The following is a 17,143-nucleotide window of genomic DNA, read 5'->3' as shown; positions in this document are numbered from 1 at the left end:
CTGGTGACAGAGCGAGACTCTGTCTCAGAAAACAAACAGACAAACAAACAAACAAACAAAAACTTGCTTTTGGCTGGGTGCAGTGGCTCACGTCTGTAATCCCAGTACTTTGGGAGGCAGAGGCTGGAGGATTGCTTGAGACCAGAAGTTCGAGGCCGGCCTGGGCAACAGAACAAGACCTCACCACTGCTAAAAAATATTTGAAAAATTTTTAAAAGACACTGAGGCAGAAGAATTGTTTGAACCCGGGAGGCAGAGGTTGCAGTGAGCCAAGATCGTGCCACTGCACTCCAGTCTGGGTGACAGAGTAAAACTCCATCTCAAAAATAAATAAATAAATAAATAAATAAATAAAAGACTTGCATTTGATCCTTTTGTAGTTCGTAAACTTGATGATTGGGTTTTCATGCTCTTAAGTGAGATGCGTGAAATGGTTTGGCTGTGTCCCCACCCAAATCTCATCTTGAATTGTAGCTCCCATGATTCCCATGTGTTGTGGGAGGGACCCAGTGGGAGATGATGGAATCATCGAGGCGGTTTCTCCCATACTGTTCTCTTGGTAGTGCATAAGTTTCACGAGATCTGATGGGTTTTTTTTTTTTTTTTGAGATGGAGTCTCGCTCTTTCACCCAGGCTGGAGTGCAGTGGCGCGATCTCAGCTCACTGCAAGCTCTGCCTCCCGGGTTCACGCCATTCTCCTGCCTCAGCCTCCCTAGCAGCTGGGACTACAGGCGCCTACCACCACGCCCAGCTAATTTTTTTGTATTTTTAGTAGAGACGGGGTTTCACTGTGTTTGCCAGGATGATCTCGATCTTCTGACCTCGTGATCCGCCCGCCTCGGCCTCCCAAAGTGCTGGGATTACAGGCGTGAGCCACCGTGCCCGGCGGATCTGATGGTTTTGTAAGGGTTTCTCCCCTTTCACTTGGTTCTTATTCTCTCTCTTCTCTGCTGCCATATAAGACGTGCTCTTTGCCTTCCACCATGATTGTGAGGCCTCCCCAGACACTTGGAACTGTCAGTCCATTAAACCTCTTTTTCTTTATAAATTACCCAGTCTCAGGTGTGTCTTTATCAGCAGCGTGAAAACGGAGTAATACAATGCGCCTCCCTTTTAAGCCTTCTTATGACATCAGCACATTACTGTCTGACAAGAAGAATAAAGATTGGCATTGGCATTTGTGTTTGTCATCCACTCAGCCCAAGAAAACCTCTGACGAAGTCACCAGAAGCCGGTATTCATGGATGTCACAACAGATGAAGCAGCCTCCTGGGGCAGTGTCATGAGGAACGATGTGACCAGTGTTAAACAGATAGCCATAGAGATCAGCAGAGGTGGCCAGGCGCGGTGGCTCATACCTGTAATCCCAGCACTTTGGGAGGCTGAGGTGGACAGATCACCTGAGGTCAGGAGTTCGAGACCATCCTGGTCAACATGGTGAAACCCCGTCTCTACTAAAAATACCAAAATTAGCGGGCATGGTGGCGCATGCCTATAGTCCCAGCTACTTGGGAGGCTGAGGCAGGAGAATCACTTGAACCCAGGAGGCGGAGGTTGCAGTGAGCCAAGATCACACCACTGCACTCCAGCCGGGCGACAGAGCAAGACTCTGTCTCAAAAAAAAAAAAAGATCAGCAGAAGCAAGGATGTTGAGTGTAACAGCAATGCTGCCTCTTTTGCATGCTGAGGGATATTAAATTAGCCCAAAATGACACAGGATGACAAAAAAGGGACATGAGGAGATGGTACCTGGACGCTTTGGTGGATTTCACGGTGGTGGGTTCAACAAAAAGCAAATACCTAAGTACCTCTTCTCTGTGCATTATTCTCTATCACTGATAAATCACTATACCTCACTTAGGTCCATGAATTTTGTAACAAATTTTTCTTTTTTTAAAATTTTCCTTTTTTTAGGGTGCTGGTAATCCCAGCACTTTGGGAAGCCAAGGTGGGCAGATCCCTGGAGCCCAGAAGTTCCAGACTAGCCTGGGCAACATGGCTAAACCCTGTCTCTAGTCAAAAAAGAAAAAAGAAATTAAATTGCTTTTTCCCTTTTTTAAAAAAATAGAGATGGGCTCTCTACATGTTGCCCAGGCTGGTCTCAAGCTCCTGACCTGAAAGGATCCTCCCACCTCATCCTCCCAAAGTGCTGGGATTACAGGCGTGAGTCACCACACCTGGCCACATCTTTCAATCAAACTGTTTCTATAGACAAGGACTTCACAAAAAACATCGCCTGATATCCTGAACGTGTTCTGTGTGGCCCAGCATCCCATGCCCAATTCTTCAGCAAATCCTGTGGGCACCCTCAAATCTATCCAGAATTAGCCACTTCTCCTGGCTCCTATGCCCCGGTCCTGGGCTGGTCCACCCTCCTGTCTCACCTGTCTCTGAGCAGCATCCTTCTTTCTCTGTTCCTTACTTCCTCCTGTCCCCCCACACAAGAAAAACAAATCCAGTTTCTCCTGCTGTATTCTCACAACACAGAATACTTCAGGGACTCTGGGTGTATAGGGGGGTTTTCTGTCCCACACCAAGCAATTTGACAGCAGACACCACTTGGGTGTTTTCTCATTCAGTTCAGTTCTGACACTCACTGGGTGTGGTGGCTCATGCCTGTAATCCCAGCACTTAGGAAGGCCAAGACGGGCGGCTCACTTGAGGTCAGGAGTTTGAGACCAGCCTGGGCAACATAGCAAGATCGTGGCTCTACAAAATAATTAATTAATTAAAAAAATTTCAGGCCAGGTGCTGTGGCTCACTGCTGTAATCCTAGCACTTTGGGAGGCCAAGGCAGGAGGATCGGCTGAGCTCAGGAGTTCAAGACCAGCCTCGGCAAAATAGTGAGAACCCGTCTTTGTTAGGTTTTGAAGCGATGGTGAGGGTTAAAGAAAGATACACAGAAAGAAGGGGGGGCTGGACATCAAATACAGGCTTTATGTCCAGCATAAAACTTACAGAAGTGGGGGACCAGCCTAATGCCAGAGCCCATCACTGCTTACAGGCTGGGGCAATTTATAGGTATGGGTGGGAGGGGTCTGGGCAGTATGGCTTGCTGCCCAGCAGGATATTGATAAGACGCTCCCATGATAAGGCAGTTCTGGCCCTTGTTCCAGTAGGATATCATCATGGTGTTCCTTGGACTTTTGTCCAGCAAGATATGATAAGGATGTTTCTTTTTTTTTTTTTTTTTCTTGAGATGGAGTCTAGCTCTGTCACCCAGGCTGGAGTGCAGAGGCATGATCTCAGCTCACTGAAACCTCCACCTCCCAGGTTCAAGCAATTCGCCTGCCTCAGCCTCTCGAGTAGCTGGGACTACAGGTGCACACCACCATGTCCAGCTAATTTTTGTATTTTTAGTAGAGACGGAGTTTTACGATGTTGGCCAGGCTGGTCTTGAACTCCTGACCTCAAGCGATCCTTCTGCCTCGGCCTCCCACCGAGCCACCACGCCCAGCCAATTGTACATATATCTTATTGTAAATCACAATATCACAATGCCTGAATCAGATAACATCCCTACTTCAAACCCTCCCATGGCTGCATCTCACTCAGAGGAAAAGTAAGTTCCTACCACAGACCACAAAGCCCCCACAGTCTGCCCCCATCACCTCTCAAAGTGCATTTCCTACCAATCTCCCCTTGGCTCTAGCCCCATGGCCTTCTTGTCCCTTGCTCCTGCCTCATGGGCTTTGCACTTGCTGTTCTCTATTCTAAGAGCACTCCTTCCCCAGATAGTGATCTTGATGCTGGACAGGAAAGCATCAAAATTGGGGCTTAGCCTGGGAGGGTTCTTGTCTTCACCCAGGAAGGAATTCAAGGATGAGCCCGTGGTGTTTGACAACAATCTTTCATAGAACAGTGCTGCTCCTTGCAGAACAGAACCGGCTCATAGGCAGTGCACCCAGAGTAGACAACATATGAGCTGTTGGCAACTATTTACACTCACTTCTACCCACTTTCAGTTACATGCAAATTAGGGGGTGGGTTAATGCAAATTGAGAGGGTGGGTCATTTAGAACTGTGTGAAATGGGAGATAACTTCCTGGTAGAAAAGGGGCGGTAACTTCCAGGTCGTTGCCATGGCATTTGTAAACTGTCATGCTCTGGTGGGAGTGTCTTATGCTAATAGACAATGAGAGCAGCTAGGGATTGCTGCCTAGGGGTCGGCTGGTTCCTGCCAGTTTCTTTACTTCATCCCGTCTGGACCAGATCCTGTTTTGGTCAGCAAGATTGTGACCAGAAAACAAGTCCTGCTGGTCTCCTACCTCAGTCTGGCTTAATCCTTTATCCCCGCCAGATCTCAGCTCAAACGTCAGCTTCTCAGAGAGGCCTTCCCTGGGTGCCCTGCCTGAAACTTACAACTCCCTCCCCCTCTTCCTACCACCTCCCTGGCTTAGTTTGCTTTCTGCCTCCATAGCACTTACCACCCTTGTAGGTTCTACTTATTTACATCCTTCCTTACTGCCTGTTTTATGCTATAGAACATCAGTTCCTGGATAGCAGACATTTTACCCCTCTCTTTCACTGTTGTGTCCCCAGTGCCTAACCCAAAGCCTGGCAAAAAGCTGGTGCTCAGCAAATGCTTGTGGAATGTGAGGGAGGATGGCACTTCCTCGCAGGGCCATGGTTTCATTTTAACTAGCTTCTGTGTGGGGCTGCCACGTGAGGACAGTTACGGGCCATGTCAGGAAATCATTGCCTGGCTATGGGAATAAAGGTGACAGCCCACGTTTAATTCAGGAAGAAATTTTTTTTTTTTTTTTTGAGATGGAGTCTCGCTCTTGTCACCCGGGCTGGAGTGCAATGGCATGATCTAGGCTCACTGCAACCTCTGCCTCCTGGGTTCAAGCGATTCTCCTGCCTCAGCCTCCCAAGTAGCTGGGATTACAGGCGCCTGCCACCACACCTGGCTAAGTTTTGTATTTTAGTAGAGACGGGGTCTCACCGTGTTGGCCAGGCTGGTCTCAAACTCCTGACCTTAGGTGATCTACCCGCTTTGGCCTCCCAAAGTGCAGGGATTGCAGGAGTGAGCCACTGCACCTGACTTTCTACTTCTGATTTCTTTTTTCCTTTTTTTTTTTTTTTAATGGGGTCTTGCTATGTTACTGAGGCTGGTCTCGAACTCACAGGCTCAAGTGATCCCCTTGCCTCAGCCTCCCAAGTACCTGGAATTACAGGCACACACCACCGCATCCTGCTGCCAGCTGGAAATATTTGATGGGCAGAACTAATGACTTCAAAAGTCCTTATTTCCTTCTGCCTCATCTGTTCTTGCTTCAAAGGTCAGCTCAGCCTTGCTGGGAAGACTCTCCTCTCCCATAAATGATATACATTGGGTTATTTTCTCCTTTTTCTACATATTGTTGTTCCAAAATTATTACACTGTATAGCATTGTTTTATGTGCTTTTTGTTTTGTGTTTTGAGACAGAGTCTTGCTCTTTTGCCCAGGCAGGAGTGCAGTAGCATGATCTTGGCTCACAGCAGCCTCAACCTTCTGGGCTCAAGCAATCCTCTCGCCTCTAGCTGAGACTACAGGCACATGCCACCATGCCTGGCTGATTTTTATATTTTTTTGTAGACAGGGGGTCTTGCTATTTTGCTCAGGCTGGTCTCAAACTCCTGGCCTCAAGCAATCTTCCCTCCTCAGCCTCCCAAAGTGCTGGCATTACAGATGTGAGCCTCTGTGCCTGGCCAAGGTTGTGGTTTTTGCAGTCTTTTGTGATAGTTTTATAATCAGCCACACAAGTGTGAGAACCCTCTCTTCATGGCCTTCCCCAGCTCTGTTTTTCAGGGTTTTCTTAATATTAGTGACTCCATAGTGACTCTGACAACTTTCACCTTTCCCCTTTTTGATTAAGATCTTTCTCCAAAAGCATCACTGATTGATCATCCTGTATTTGGGTTTTGATGTATCTTGATGCTGTGATGTACCTGTCCCAATTGCTGATCTCAATGCATATTGTGGGGGAGTGACTGGTGTCTAGAAGTCAGTATCAAAACCCTATCAACCCCTCTCCTTTTTTTTTTTTTCTTTTTTTGAGACAGTCTCACTCACTCTGTCGCCCAGGCTGGAGTACAGTCGCGTAATCTTGGCTCACTGCAACCTCCATCACCCAGGTTCAAGCGATGCTCCTGCCTCAGCCTTGTGTAGCTGGGATTACAGGAGCACATCACCACACCTGGCTAATTTTTGCAATTTTAGTAGAGATGGGGTTTCACCATGTTGGCCAGGCTGGTCTCGAACTCCTGACCTCAAGCGGTCCGCCCGCTTCGGCCTCCCAAAGTGCTGGGATTACAGACATGAGCCACTGCGCCCAGCCTCAAAACCCTTTTAATCTAAAGCCTGAGAAGGAACTGAAAAAAACAACATATTTGAACAACAAGGGAAGTGTGACGGGAGTGGCTCTCAGACTAAGTTTTCATGGTGTCCGTTATTAAGTTCAGTTTTATCTGTTCTGTAGTCTTTTATTAACATCTCAAAATGTTAGGCCAACATTATTTTGTTAGGAGTTGTACTTAATGCAAAAATTTAACAACATACAAAGTTGTTTTGTTTGGTTTTGTGTTTTGTTTTTTAGACACAGGATCTTGCTTTGTTGCCCAAGCTGGAGTGCAGTGGTATGATCCTAGCTCACTGCAGCATCCAACTCCTGGGCCCAAGTGATCCTCCTGCTCACCTGCCAGGTAGCCAGGACTACAGGCCCATGCCACTATACCTAGCTAATTTTCTTTTTTCTTTCTAGCGATGGGGCCTGGCTGTGTCGCTTAAGCTGGTCTCGAACTCCTGGCCTCAGGCAATCTTCCCACCTCAGCCCCACAAAGTGCTCGAATTACACATACAGGGTTTTAAAATGGAGAAATACAAAGTAAAATTAGTAGTAATATGAAAATTCCACTCTTCATAATGCTTTCAGACAACTTCATAGGCTTACAGAATGAATTGAATGAATCAAAAGGCCTTAGGAAATTAGGTGAGACCAACTGTAACCAAGTGATCTGTTTTCTTCTTTTATGTATATGGATCTCAACTTTTCCCGGAAGAACTGGCCTGTACTACAGGTACAGCATGTAGTATTAGCAATAGCGCAGACATGTCTTAGTTAACCAATGGATACTAAAGGATTTCTTAAGTTAGGTTTTGTTAAGTTGCCAATGGAAGCTATTGGTCATGAAATTTCAACTACATCATTATCCTGCCAAATGAAAAAGATAGCATTGAGGGGGTACAAATCTTATTATGAGTTAGTCTTCTTCCAAATGTCTTGGGAAAAGCTGTCTGCAGTGTGAAAACATCAACTTCTGATTTTCACTTTGTGTGTCTTTGGTCATGATGTCAGACAGTTTGGTGAGCTTTTGTGTGGCCCATACATTGGGCACAAAGTTTGTTCCTTAAAATTGGTCTCATTTCAGCGTATAGGGCTTTGGAAACAGAGCAGCTTTTACTTTATTTATTTATTTATTTAGACAGAATTTTTTCTGTTACCCAGGCTGGAGTGCAGCAGCGCAATCTCAGCTCACTGCAACCTCCACCTTCCAGGTTCAAGCAGTTCTCGTGTCTCAGCCTCCCGAATAGCTGGGTCTACAGGTACATGCCACCAAGCCTGGGTAATTTTTGTATTTTTATTAGAGATGGGGTTTCACTGTGTTGGCCAGGCTGGTCTCGAACTCCCAATATCAAGTGATCTGCCCACCTCGGCCTCCCAAAACGCTGGGATTACAGGCGTGAGCCACCTCGCCCATCCAGCCGTTGCTTTTAGTCAGAGAGTTGTAGCAATATATTGGAGGAAGTCAGGAGAATTCAGGAACTCGTCCAGTCTATAGGTAGATAACAAGAACTTAAAAACAGTGCACAGGGCTGCAATCTATTAATAGGTATATTATAGTTTTTCTTTAGAAATGTAACTTTTTCTCTCCACATTTATCATATAGGAATCTCAGATTTAGAAACCTCTTGAGGCTCAGAAGCCAAACCAAGGCAGACTTTAGATTTTACCAACAGGTTCTTAAGGTTCTTGGGCCTGCCAGAAAGGGGCCATTTTTACTCATTCATTGTAAGACTGGGAACTCTTGAAGCCAGGCATTTATGTATATTTTAAAATATAATACTTCAGGCCAGGCATGGTGGCTCACACCTGTAACCACAGCACTCTGGGAGGCCAAGGTGAGTGGATCATCTGAGGTCAGGAGCTCGAGACCAGCCTGGCCAACATGGTGAAACCCTGTCTCTACTAAAAATACAAAAAAAAAAAAAAATTAGCTGGGCATGGTGGTGCACACCAGTGATCCCAGCACTCGGGAGGCTAAGGCAGGACAATCACTTGAACCTGGGAGGCAGAGGTTGCAGTGAGCTGAGATCGTGCCACTGCACTCCAGCCTGGGCAACAGAGTGAAACTTGGTCTCAATAAATAAATTAATTAATTAATTAATTAAAATAAAATATGACACTTCAGTCAAAGCCTTGGTGATATAGCCAGTGTTTTCTATTATATCTTGCTTATAAAGAAAGGGCAGACTTTTTCTGAACTTATGTAAATAAAAATAAGAATACTCACGAAGAGTTTCCAGATTTTGGAGGAATCAAGTGAGGAGAAAAAGCAAATGCTTTCACCTTTTGTTGTTGTTGCTGTTGTTTTTGGAGGAGTCTGGCTCTATCACCTGTTACCCAGGCTGTAGTGCAATGGCAAAGTCTTGGCTCACTGCAACCTCTGTCTCCTGGGTTCAAGCAATTCTCCTGCCTCAGCCTCCCAAGTAGCTGGGATTACAGGTGTGTCCCACCATGCCTGGCTCATTTTTGTATTTTTAATAGGGACAGGGTTTCACCATGTTGGCCAGGTTGGTCTCGAACTCCTGACCTCAAGTGATCTGCCTGCCTCGGCCTCCCAAAGTGCTGGGATTACAGCCATGAGCCACCACGCCTGGCCAAGACCTGATGGTTTTATAAGGGGCTTTTCCCCTTTTGCTCAGCACTTCTCTCTCCTGCTGCCCTGTGAAGAGGGGCATGTTGATTCCCCTTTTGCCATGATTGTAAGTTTCTTGAGGCCTGCCCAGCCATGCTGAAGAACTGTGAGTCAATTAAACCTCTTTCCTTTATAAATTATCCAGTCTTGGGTATTTATTCATAGCAACTTGAGAACGGACTAATACAGTAACCTTAAATTTTAGTGAAAACCTGGGAAGCAAGAAATATTGCATTGCCTGTCACATATGAGTATTTTATAAACGAAAATCATTTAATAACTTTACAAACATGTTTTCCCATAATTTTCGTGTATTAATAGACTCCAAAATATTTAGTTTTTATAATTATAAGAAGCCAGCTGGAGCTGGGCATGGTGGCTCATGCCTGTAATCCCAGCACTTTGGGAGGCTGAGGTGAGTGGGTCACTTGAGGTCAGGAGTTTGAGACCACTCTGGCCAACATGGTGAAACCGCATCTCTACTAAAAATACGAAAATTAGCCCAGCACGGTGGTGGGTGCCTATAATCCCAGCTACTTGGGAGGCTGAGGCAGGAAAATCTCTTGAACCCAGGAGGTAGAGGTTGTAGTGAGCTGAGATCATGCCACTGAACTCCAGCCTGGGAGACAGAGCGAGTCTCCATCACAAGAAAAAGAAGAAGAAGAGAAAAAGAAGCTAGCTGGGCACAGTGACTCATGCCTATATCCTAGCAATTTAGAAGGCCAAAGCAGACAGAACACTTGAGCCCAGGAGTTCAAGACCAGCCTGGGCAACATAGCAAAACTTTGTCTCTGCAAAAAATAAAAAACTTAGCTAGGCATGGTGGTGCACACCTATAGTTCCAGGTACTTGGGAGGCTCAGCTGGAGGATCACCTGAGCCCAGGGAGATTGAGGCTGCAGTGTGAACCTAATTAACAAACAGAGAGAGGTTCTATAAAAGAAGAGATGTTTGCACCAGGCACGTTGGCTCACACCTGTAATCCCAGCACTTTGGGAGGCTGAGGTGGGCGGATCACCTGAGGTCAGGAGTTCAAGACTAGCCTGATCAACATGGTGAAATCCCATCTCTACTAAAAATACAAAAAAAAATAGTTGGGTGTGGTGGTGGGCGCCTGTAATCCCAGCCACTCAGGAGGCCAAGGCAGGAGAATCACTTGAACTGGGGAGGCAAAGGTTGCAGTGAGCCGAGATTGCGCCACTGCACTCCAGCCTGGGCAACAGAGCCAGATTCCATCTCAAAAAAAAAGAGAGAAAAGATGTTTGTTTGGGAATACAGCACTGCAATGAGAATCTGCATGCCATAGTGAACTATGTGCAGATTCAGGAAGGTAAAGGAAGACAAAGGCTCTTACAAGAAAAAATGAGGAGTACATAATTGTTTTGAAATAATTATCCTTGACTACAAAGATCAAAATCGAGGGTGATGCCCGTTCGAGGTCAGACAGGCAGCTCTTCCACGGAGGGCTTTGTAGAACCATTTTTTGTGTAAAGTTGTAATGCCCTTTGGGCAAGTTTATGGTTTCTGTAGAGTCTTTTGTAATCATTTTTGTTATCAGGCGTATAAACATGAGAACTCTGTCTTTATGGCGTTCCCTGGCTCTATTTGTCAAGGTTTTCTTTTTCTTTTTTTTTTTTGAGATGGAGTCTTGCTCTGTCAACCAGGCTGGAGTGCAGTGTGACGCCATCTCGGCTTACTGTAACCTCCATCTCCTGGGTTCAAGCGATTCTCCTGTCTCAGCCTCCTGAGTAGCTGGGACTACAGGTGTGCACCACCATGCCTGGCTAATTTTTGTATGTTTAGTAGAGATGGGGTTTCGCCATGTTGGCCAGGCTGGTCTCAAACTCCTGACCTCAAATGATCCACCTCCCCTTCAGCCTCCCAAAGTGCTGGGAATAAGGCATGAGCCACTACGCCCGGCCTACCCAGGAAAGAATTCAAGGGCAATCCAGAGGTAGAAGAAACAGCTTTATTGAAGTGGCAGTGTCACAGCTCGGTGGTCGCTACTGCAGAGCAGGGCTATTCATAGGCAGGCAGTAGCAGCCCAGGGCAGTTCCACAGTCATATTTATACCCACTTTTAATTTTGCATGCAGATTAAGGGGCGTTTCATGCAGAAATTTCTAGGGAAGGAGGAGTAATCATTGGGTCATTGCTGTGGAAAGGGGCAGTAACTCGTGGTGTTGCCATGGCGATAGTAAATTGACATGGCACACTGGTGGGCCTGTCTCATAGAAAGCCGTTTCCGGCTGAGCGCAGTGGCTCACACCTGTAATCCCAGCACTTTGGGAGGCCCAGGTGAGTGGATCACCTGAGGTCTGGAGTTCGAGACCAGCCTGGCCAACATGGTGAAACCCCGTCTCTACTAAAAATACAAAATTAGGCAGGTGTGGTGGGGTGCGCCTGTAATCCCAGCTACTCGGGAGGCTGAGGCAGGAGAATCGCTTGCACCTGGGAGGCAGAGGTTGGAGTGAGCTGAGCTTGTACCACTGCACTCCAGCCTGGCCGACAGAGCAAGACTCTGTCTTAATAATAATAATAATAATAATAATAATAATAATAATAATAATAATAGAAAGCTGGCCGGGCGCCGTGGCTCGCGCCTGTAATCCCATAACTTTGGGAGGCTGAGGCGGGCGAATTGCGAGGTCAGGAGATGGAGACCATCCTGGCTAACACGGTGAAACCCAGTCTCTACTAAAAACACAAAAAATTAGCCGAGCGTGGTGGCACATGACTGTAGTCCCAGCTACTCGAGGGGCTGAGGTAGGAAAATCGCTTGAACCTGGGAGGCGGAGGTTGCAGTGAGCCGACCAACTCCAGCCCGGCAACAGAGCGAGACTCCATCTCAAATAAATAAATAAATACATAAATAAATAAAACTGCTTCCCACCCTCCTGCTGTCCTCCACCGCCCTGTTCTACCAAGTCCTCAGTCTGATCTGGTGTCCAAGCCACGCCTCTGGAGTCGAGTCCCGCCTCCTACCTCACTCTAATCCTGTTAACAATGGCCTCCAGGGAGAGCTGTAGTCCAGAAAGCCGCATTGGTGGAACCTCTAACACCCTTGGAATTAGTCGTGCAGCCCACTTCTCTGTTCCCGGAGGTCCATGACATTTCTACTTCTGCAAACTGGACCAGCAGGACTTTCCCCAGCTTCCCACCCACACCCCTAGCAGAGAGAGAAGACTGCAGCCCCCACTCACGTTTGCTTTGCATCAGTGTTGCTCAACCTCATCAGAGCCAGTGCTCCCGATGTATAGCAAATAATTTCTTACCTTGAAATGAAACACTTAGATAATAAAACCTAGCTCCAAAATGCCCTAACTATAAGGTAAAGGGGAAATAAAAGGAGAGAAATTTAAGTTAGCAGAGCCTGGTGGCGTGTGCCTGCAATCCCAGCTACTCGGGAGGCTGAGGAAGGAGAATCACTTGAAGCCAGGAGGCGGAGGTTGCAGTGAGCCGAGATCGTGCCACTGCACTCCAGCCTGGGCAACAGAACGAGACTCCATCTCAAAAAAAAAAAAATGTGTATCAACATGCAAGGGATGTTTGGCTTGATTCCTGTAAGATTCAGCTACTCAATGCTTCGTCCTGGGAGCATAGGCTTTGGCATCTTCTGGGAGTTTGTTACAAATGTGGGCCTGATGATTTGGAATCCCCAGGGGGTTTGGTATATCTCTAGAACATTTCCCCCTCTGTGTGGAGTCTCTGAAGCAACAGCTCCATAAAACCCACAGCTGGCCCTCCTGAATTAAGAGATTTCCTGGTTTGCTGAACTGAAGAACAACTCTGCTTTATCCATTACAAGGAAGGTAATTTTGAAAGTGCCAATCCGTTTTTTTGTTCTCTGTTTCTGCTTTCCTCAGCCCTTTTCTGGCTATAAAGTATAGGGACAAGGCCAGTGTGATGGCTCACACCTGTAATCCCAGCACTTTGGGAGACCAAGGCAGGAGGATCACTTGAGGCCAAGAGTTTGAGATGAGACTGGATGGACATTGTAGCAAGACCCCATCTCTGCAAAAAAAATTTTAAAATTACCCAGACATGGTGGGACTATAGCTGTGCCTATAATCCCATGTATTCGAGAGGCTGAGATGGGAGGATCACTTGAGGCTGGGAGGTCACAGCTGCAGTGACCTGACTCATGCCTGCAATCCCAGCACTTTGAGAGGCTGAGGTGGGAGGATGGCTTGAGCCTGGGAGGTCAAGTCTGCAGTGAGCCAGGATCACACCACTGCACTCCAAACTGGGTGACAGAGTGAGACTTCATCTCAAAAGAACTTTATAAAATTTTTAACAAGTGAAGGGACAAGTGAAACTTTCCATCCACCGTCTCTGAAGGCTTGATAATTTGAGTCTCTGAAATAAACTTGACAGTAGACAAATGAACTAGAGAAAAGGCACACAAATCCATTATGTGCACACACAGAGAAACCCCACAAAGTATGAGATTCAAAGAAGGTCCAGATGGTTGAAGCTTAAATAGCATTTTGAGATACAGAAATAGATAGGGGCTAGGAGGCTTCTGGACCATGGTGGTGACAAGCTAAGGTAGGGTGAAGGGCAGAACTGCACTAAGAACAAAGGTCATCTTATTTGCAGATAAAGTCTCTCAGGTAGCAGCCCTCAGAGAGATGGGTGAATCCTGTCTGGGTGTGGTGTCTTTGGGGTGGACACCAAGAGTCTTGCCCTTGGGAGGAGAACCAGGGACTGGAAAAGGACACTGACTTTTCAGTATCTGCCCTTTTGACCTACTTGGAATTTTTTTTTTTTTTTTTTTTTTTTTGAGATGGAGTCTTGCTCTGTCACCCAGGTTACAGTGCAGTGGCTCAATCTCAACTTACTCCAACCTCCGCTTCCCAGGTTTGAGCGATTCTCCTGCCTCAGCCTCCTGAGTAGCTGGGACTATAGGTGTGTGCCACCACACCCAGCTAATTTTTTTATTTTAAGTAGAGATGGGGTTTCACCACGTTGGCCAGGCTGGTCTCGAACTCCTGACCTCAAGTGATCTGCCTGCCTCGGCCTCCAAAAGTGCTGGGATTACAGGCATCAGCCACAGTCCCTGGCCAACCTACTCAAACTTTTTAAACCTTTTAACTGTTAAAAAAAAAATCAGGCCAGGTGCAGTGGTTCATGCCTGTAATCCCAGCACTTTGGGAGGCCAAGGCGGGAGGATCACCTGAGGTCAGGAGTTTGAGATCAAGCCATTGCATTCCAGCCTGGATGACAAAGTGAAAAAAGTTTTTAAAAAAGTCAAATACTTGAGTCATCATATCTCATTATCAACAAGATTCCCACTGCTTATATATTACATTAAAACTAATATATTAGTTTTAGTGGGCACAGTTGCTCATGCCTATAATCCCAGCACTTGGGGAGGTGGAGGCGAGAGGACCACTTGAGCTCAGGAGTTTGAGACCACCCTGGGCAACAGCAAGACCTTGTCTCTCCTTTAGTCCCAGCTACCCCAGAGGCTAAGGCAGGAGGATGGCTTGACTCCAGGAGTTTGAGGCTAAAGTGAGCTACGACAGAGTGAGACCTGGTCTCAAATATATATATATAAACAGTTTTTTTTAGACAAATTTTCACTCTTGTCGCCCAGGCTGGAGTGCAATGGTGGGATCTCAGCTCACTGCAACCTGTGCCTCCTGGGTTCAAGTGATTCTTCTGCCTTAGCCTCCTGAGTAGCTGGGACTACAAGTGCGCACCACCATGCCCACCTAATTTTTTTTTTTTTTTTTTTTGGTATTTTTAGTAGAGTTGGGGTTTCACCATATTGGCCAGGCTGGTCTCGAACTCCTGGCCTCGTGATCTGCCACCTCGGCCTCCCACAGTGCTGGGATTACAGGCATAAGCCACTGCACCTAGGTTTTTGTATTTTTAGTAGGGACGGAGTTTTACCATGTTGGTGAAGCTGGTCTCAAACACTTGACCTCAGGTGATCCACCTGCCTCGGCCTCCCAAAGTGTTGGGATACAGGTGTGAGCCACCGTGTCCAGTTGAAACAAAATTTTAAAAATGAAAATATACATATTGAGAAGAAATTAGACCAGCATAATAGTTCATCCATCTCTCCTAATTCAGGGTCTCCCTCTCCTATCCACCCAACCCAGCCTCGTTATGCCCCATTTCCCTTCTCTGCTCTAATTTTTCACAGCACTAATCACTTTTTAACACACACACACTTATTATGTTTACTGTTCATCATGACAGAAGCACATTACAGGCTAGTTTGAAGTGTATACACTAATACAACCGTTTCATTCTTTTTTTTACTTGTTTTCTTTTTCTTTTTCTTTTTTTTTTTTTTTTTTTTTTGAGACAGGGTCTCGATGTGTAGCCCAGGCTGAAGTGCAGTGGCATGATCACAGCTCACTGCAGCCTCAACCTCCCAGGCTCAAGCCATCCTCCCACCTCAGCCTCCCAAGTAGCTGAGACTACAGGTGCACACCACTATTTGCAGCTACTTTTTAAATTTTTTGTAGAGACGGGGTTTCACTGTGTTGCCAGCGCTGGTCTCAAACTCCTGGGCTCAAGAGATCCTCCTGCCTCGGCCTCCCAAAGTGCTGGGATTACAGGTGTGAGCCCCCATGCCAGGACCCATTTAATTCTTTTCTGCATTTGTGGAGAGGATTCTAAGAGGGTCAAAAGGAGGTTTTATTTATTTTATTTATTTAAGACAGCTTCTCACTCTGTCGCCTAGGCTGGAGTGCAGTGGTGAGGTCTCAGCTCACTGCAACCTCTGCCTCCCTTGTTGAAGTGATTCTCATGCCTCAGCTTCCCGAGTAGCTGGGATCACAGGCATGCGCCACCATGCCCGGCTAATTTTTGTATTTTCAGTAGAGACGGAGTTTCGCCATTTTGGCCAGGCTGGTCTCACACTCCTGACCTCAAGTGATCCGCCTGCCTCAGCCTCCCAAAGTTCTGGGATTACAGGCGTGAGCCATCATGCCCGGCCTGGAGGTTTTATATTTAATTATTTCCCTGATACTACGTAATTTGCTCATTATGCCAACTGTTTATCATGTCTCTCCCTCTAGAAGGTAAGTTCTTTGTGGGGAAGAATCCATGTCTGGTTTTGTTTGTTGATGTCTTAAACTATGTATACAGCTCACGTTATGTCGAAGCCAAATAAAATATAGAGATATAGAGACAAATCTCTCGATTTAAAATGTTTTGTTGCGGTGGCTCATGCCTGCGATCCCAGCACTTTGGGAGGCTGAGGCGGGCAGATCACCTGAGGTCGGGAGTTTGAGACCATCCTGGCCAACATGGTGAAACCCCGTCTCTACTAAAAATACAAAAATTAGCTGGGCATGGTGGCATGCGCCTGTAATCCCAGCTACTCGGGAGGCTGAGGCAGGAGAATCGCTTGAACCCATGAGGCGGAGGTTGCAGTGAGACGAGATTGCATCACTGCCCTCCAGCCTGGGCGACAGAGCGAGACTCTGTCTCAAAAAAATAATAAAATGTTTTATTTGGGAAGCAAGAATTGACATTCGAGGCATCCACACAGACCAGGCGGTCTTCAGAACTTTCAAAGAACAAAGAGGTTAGAGGTTTTTATAAGAAACAGAAATGTTAGGTATTGTTTTGCAAGAAAGTTCATTGACACTAGCAACGTTCTGGGGAGCTGGCAAGTTCTGACTGGTAAGTGACAGCAGAGGGAAAAACTAGTCTTAGAGTCACGGCAGGTTTTTTCAGTACCAGTTAGACTGCTTCCAGGTTACAACAGGCAGTTTTAACAGCCAGGCTTGCAGAGAATCACTTTCTTGGAGCAATGGTATCTGCCCTAAGTGTTTTCCCCCCGGCCTCTCAACTTTGTTTTAGTTGGATATGACAAGAAGGATCCAATTCACATGATCAACTTTCACAATTTTTTTTTTCTGTTTGTTTTTTGAGACGGAGTCTCACTCACTCTTTTGCACAGGCTGGAGTGCAGTGGTGCAATCTCTGCTCACTGCAACCTCCCCCTCCCGGATTCAAGCAATTCTCCTGCCTAAGCCTCCAAATTAGCTGGGATTACAGGCGCGTGCTACCACGCCCAGCTAATTTTTGTATTTTTAGTAGAGACGGGGTTTCACCATGTTGGCCAGGCTGGTCTCGAACTTCTGACCTCAAGCGATCCGCCTGCCTTGGCCTCCCAAAGTGCTGGGATTACGGGCATGAGTCACCGCACCCAG

The 17,143-nt window shown here is 46.6% G+C and overlaps 1 pseudogene; it reads left to right on the top strand.

Annotated features, from left to right (window-relative positions):
• Positions 1-368: 368 nt before the first annotated feature.
• Positions 369-429, top strand: LOC124904801 (uncharacterized; annotated as a pseudogene).
• Positions 430-17,143: the final 16,714 nt, after the last annotated feature.

Source organism: Homo sapiens, chromosome 19, assembly GCF_000001405.40.
Source record: "Homo sapiens chromosome 19, GRCh38.p14 Primary Assembly".
In the NCBI taxonomy this organism is placed as follows: Eukaryota; Metazoa; Chordata; class Mammalia; order Primates; family Hominidae; genus Homo; species Homo sapiens.
The sequence above is the reverse complement of the archived record's forward strand: the minus strand, read 5'-3'. Positions and strand labels throughout refer to the sequence as shown.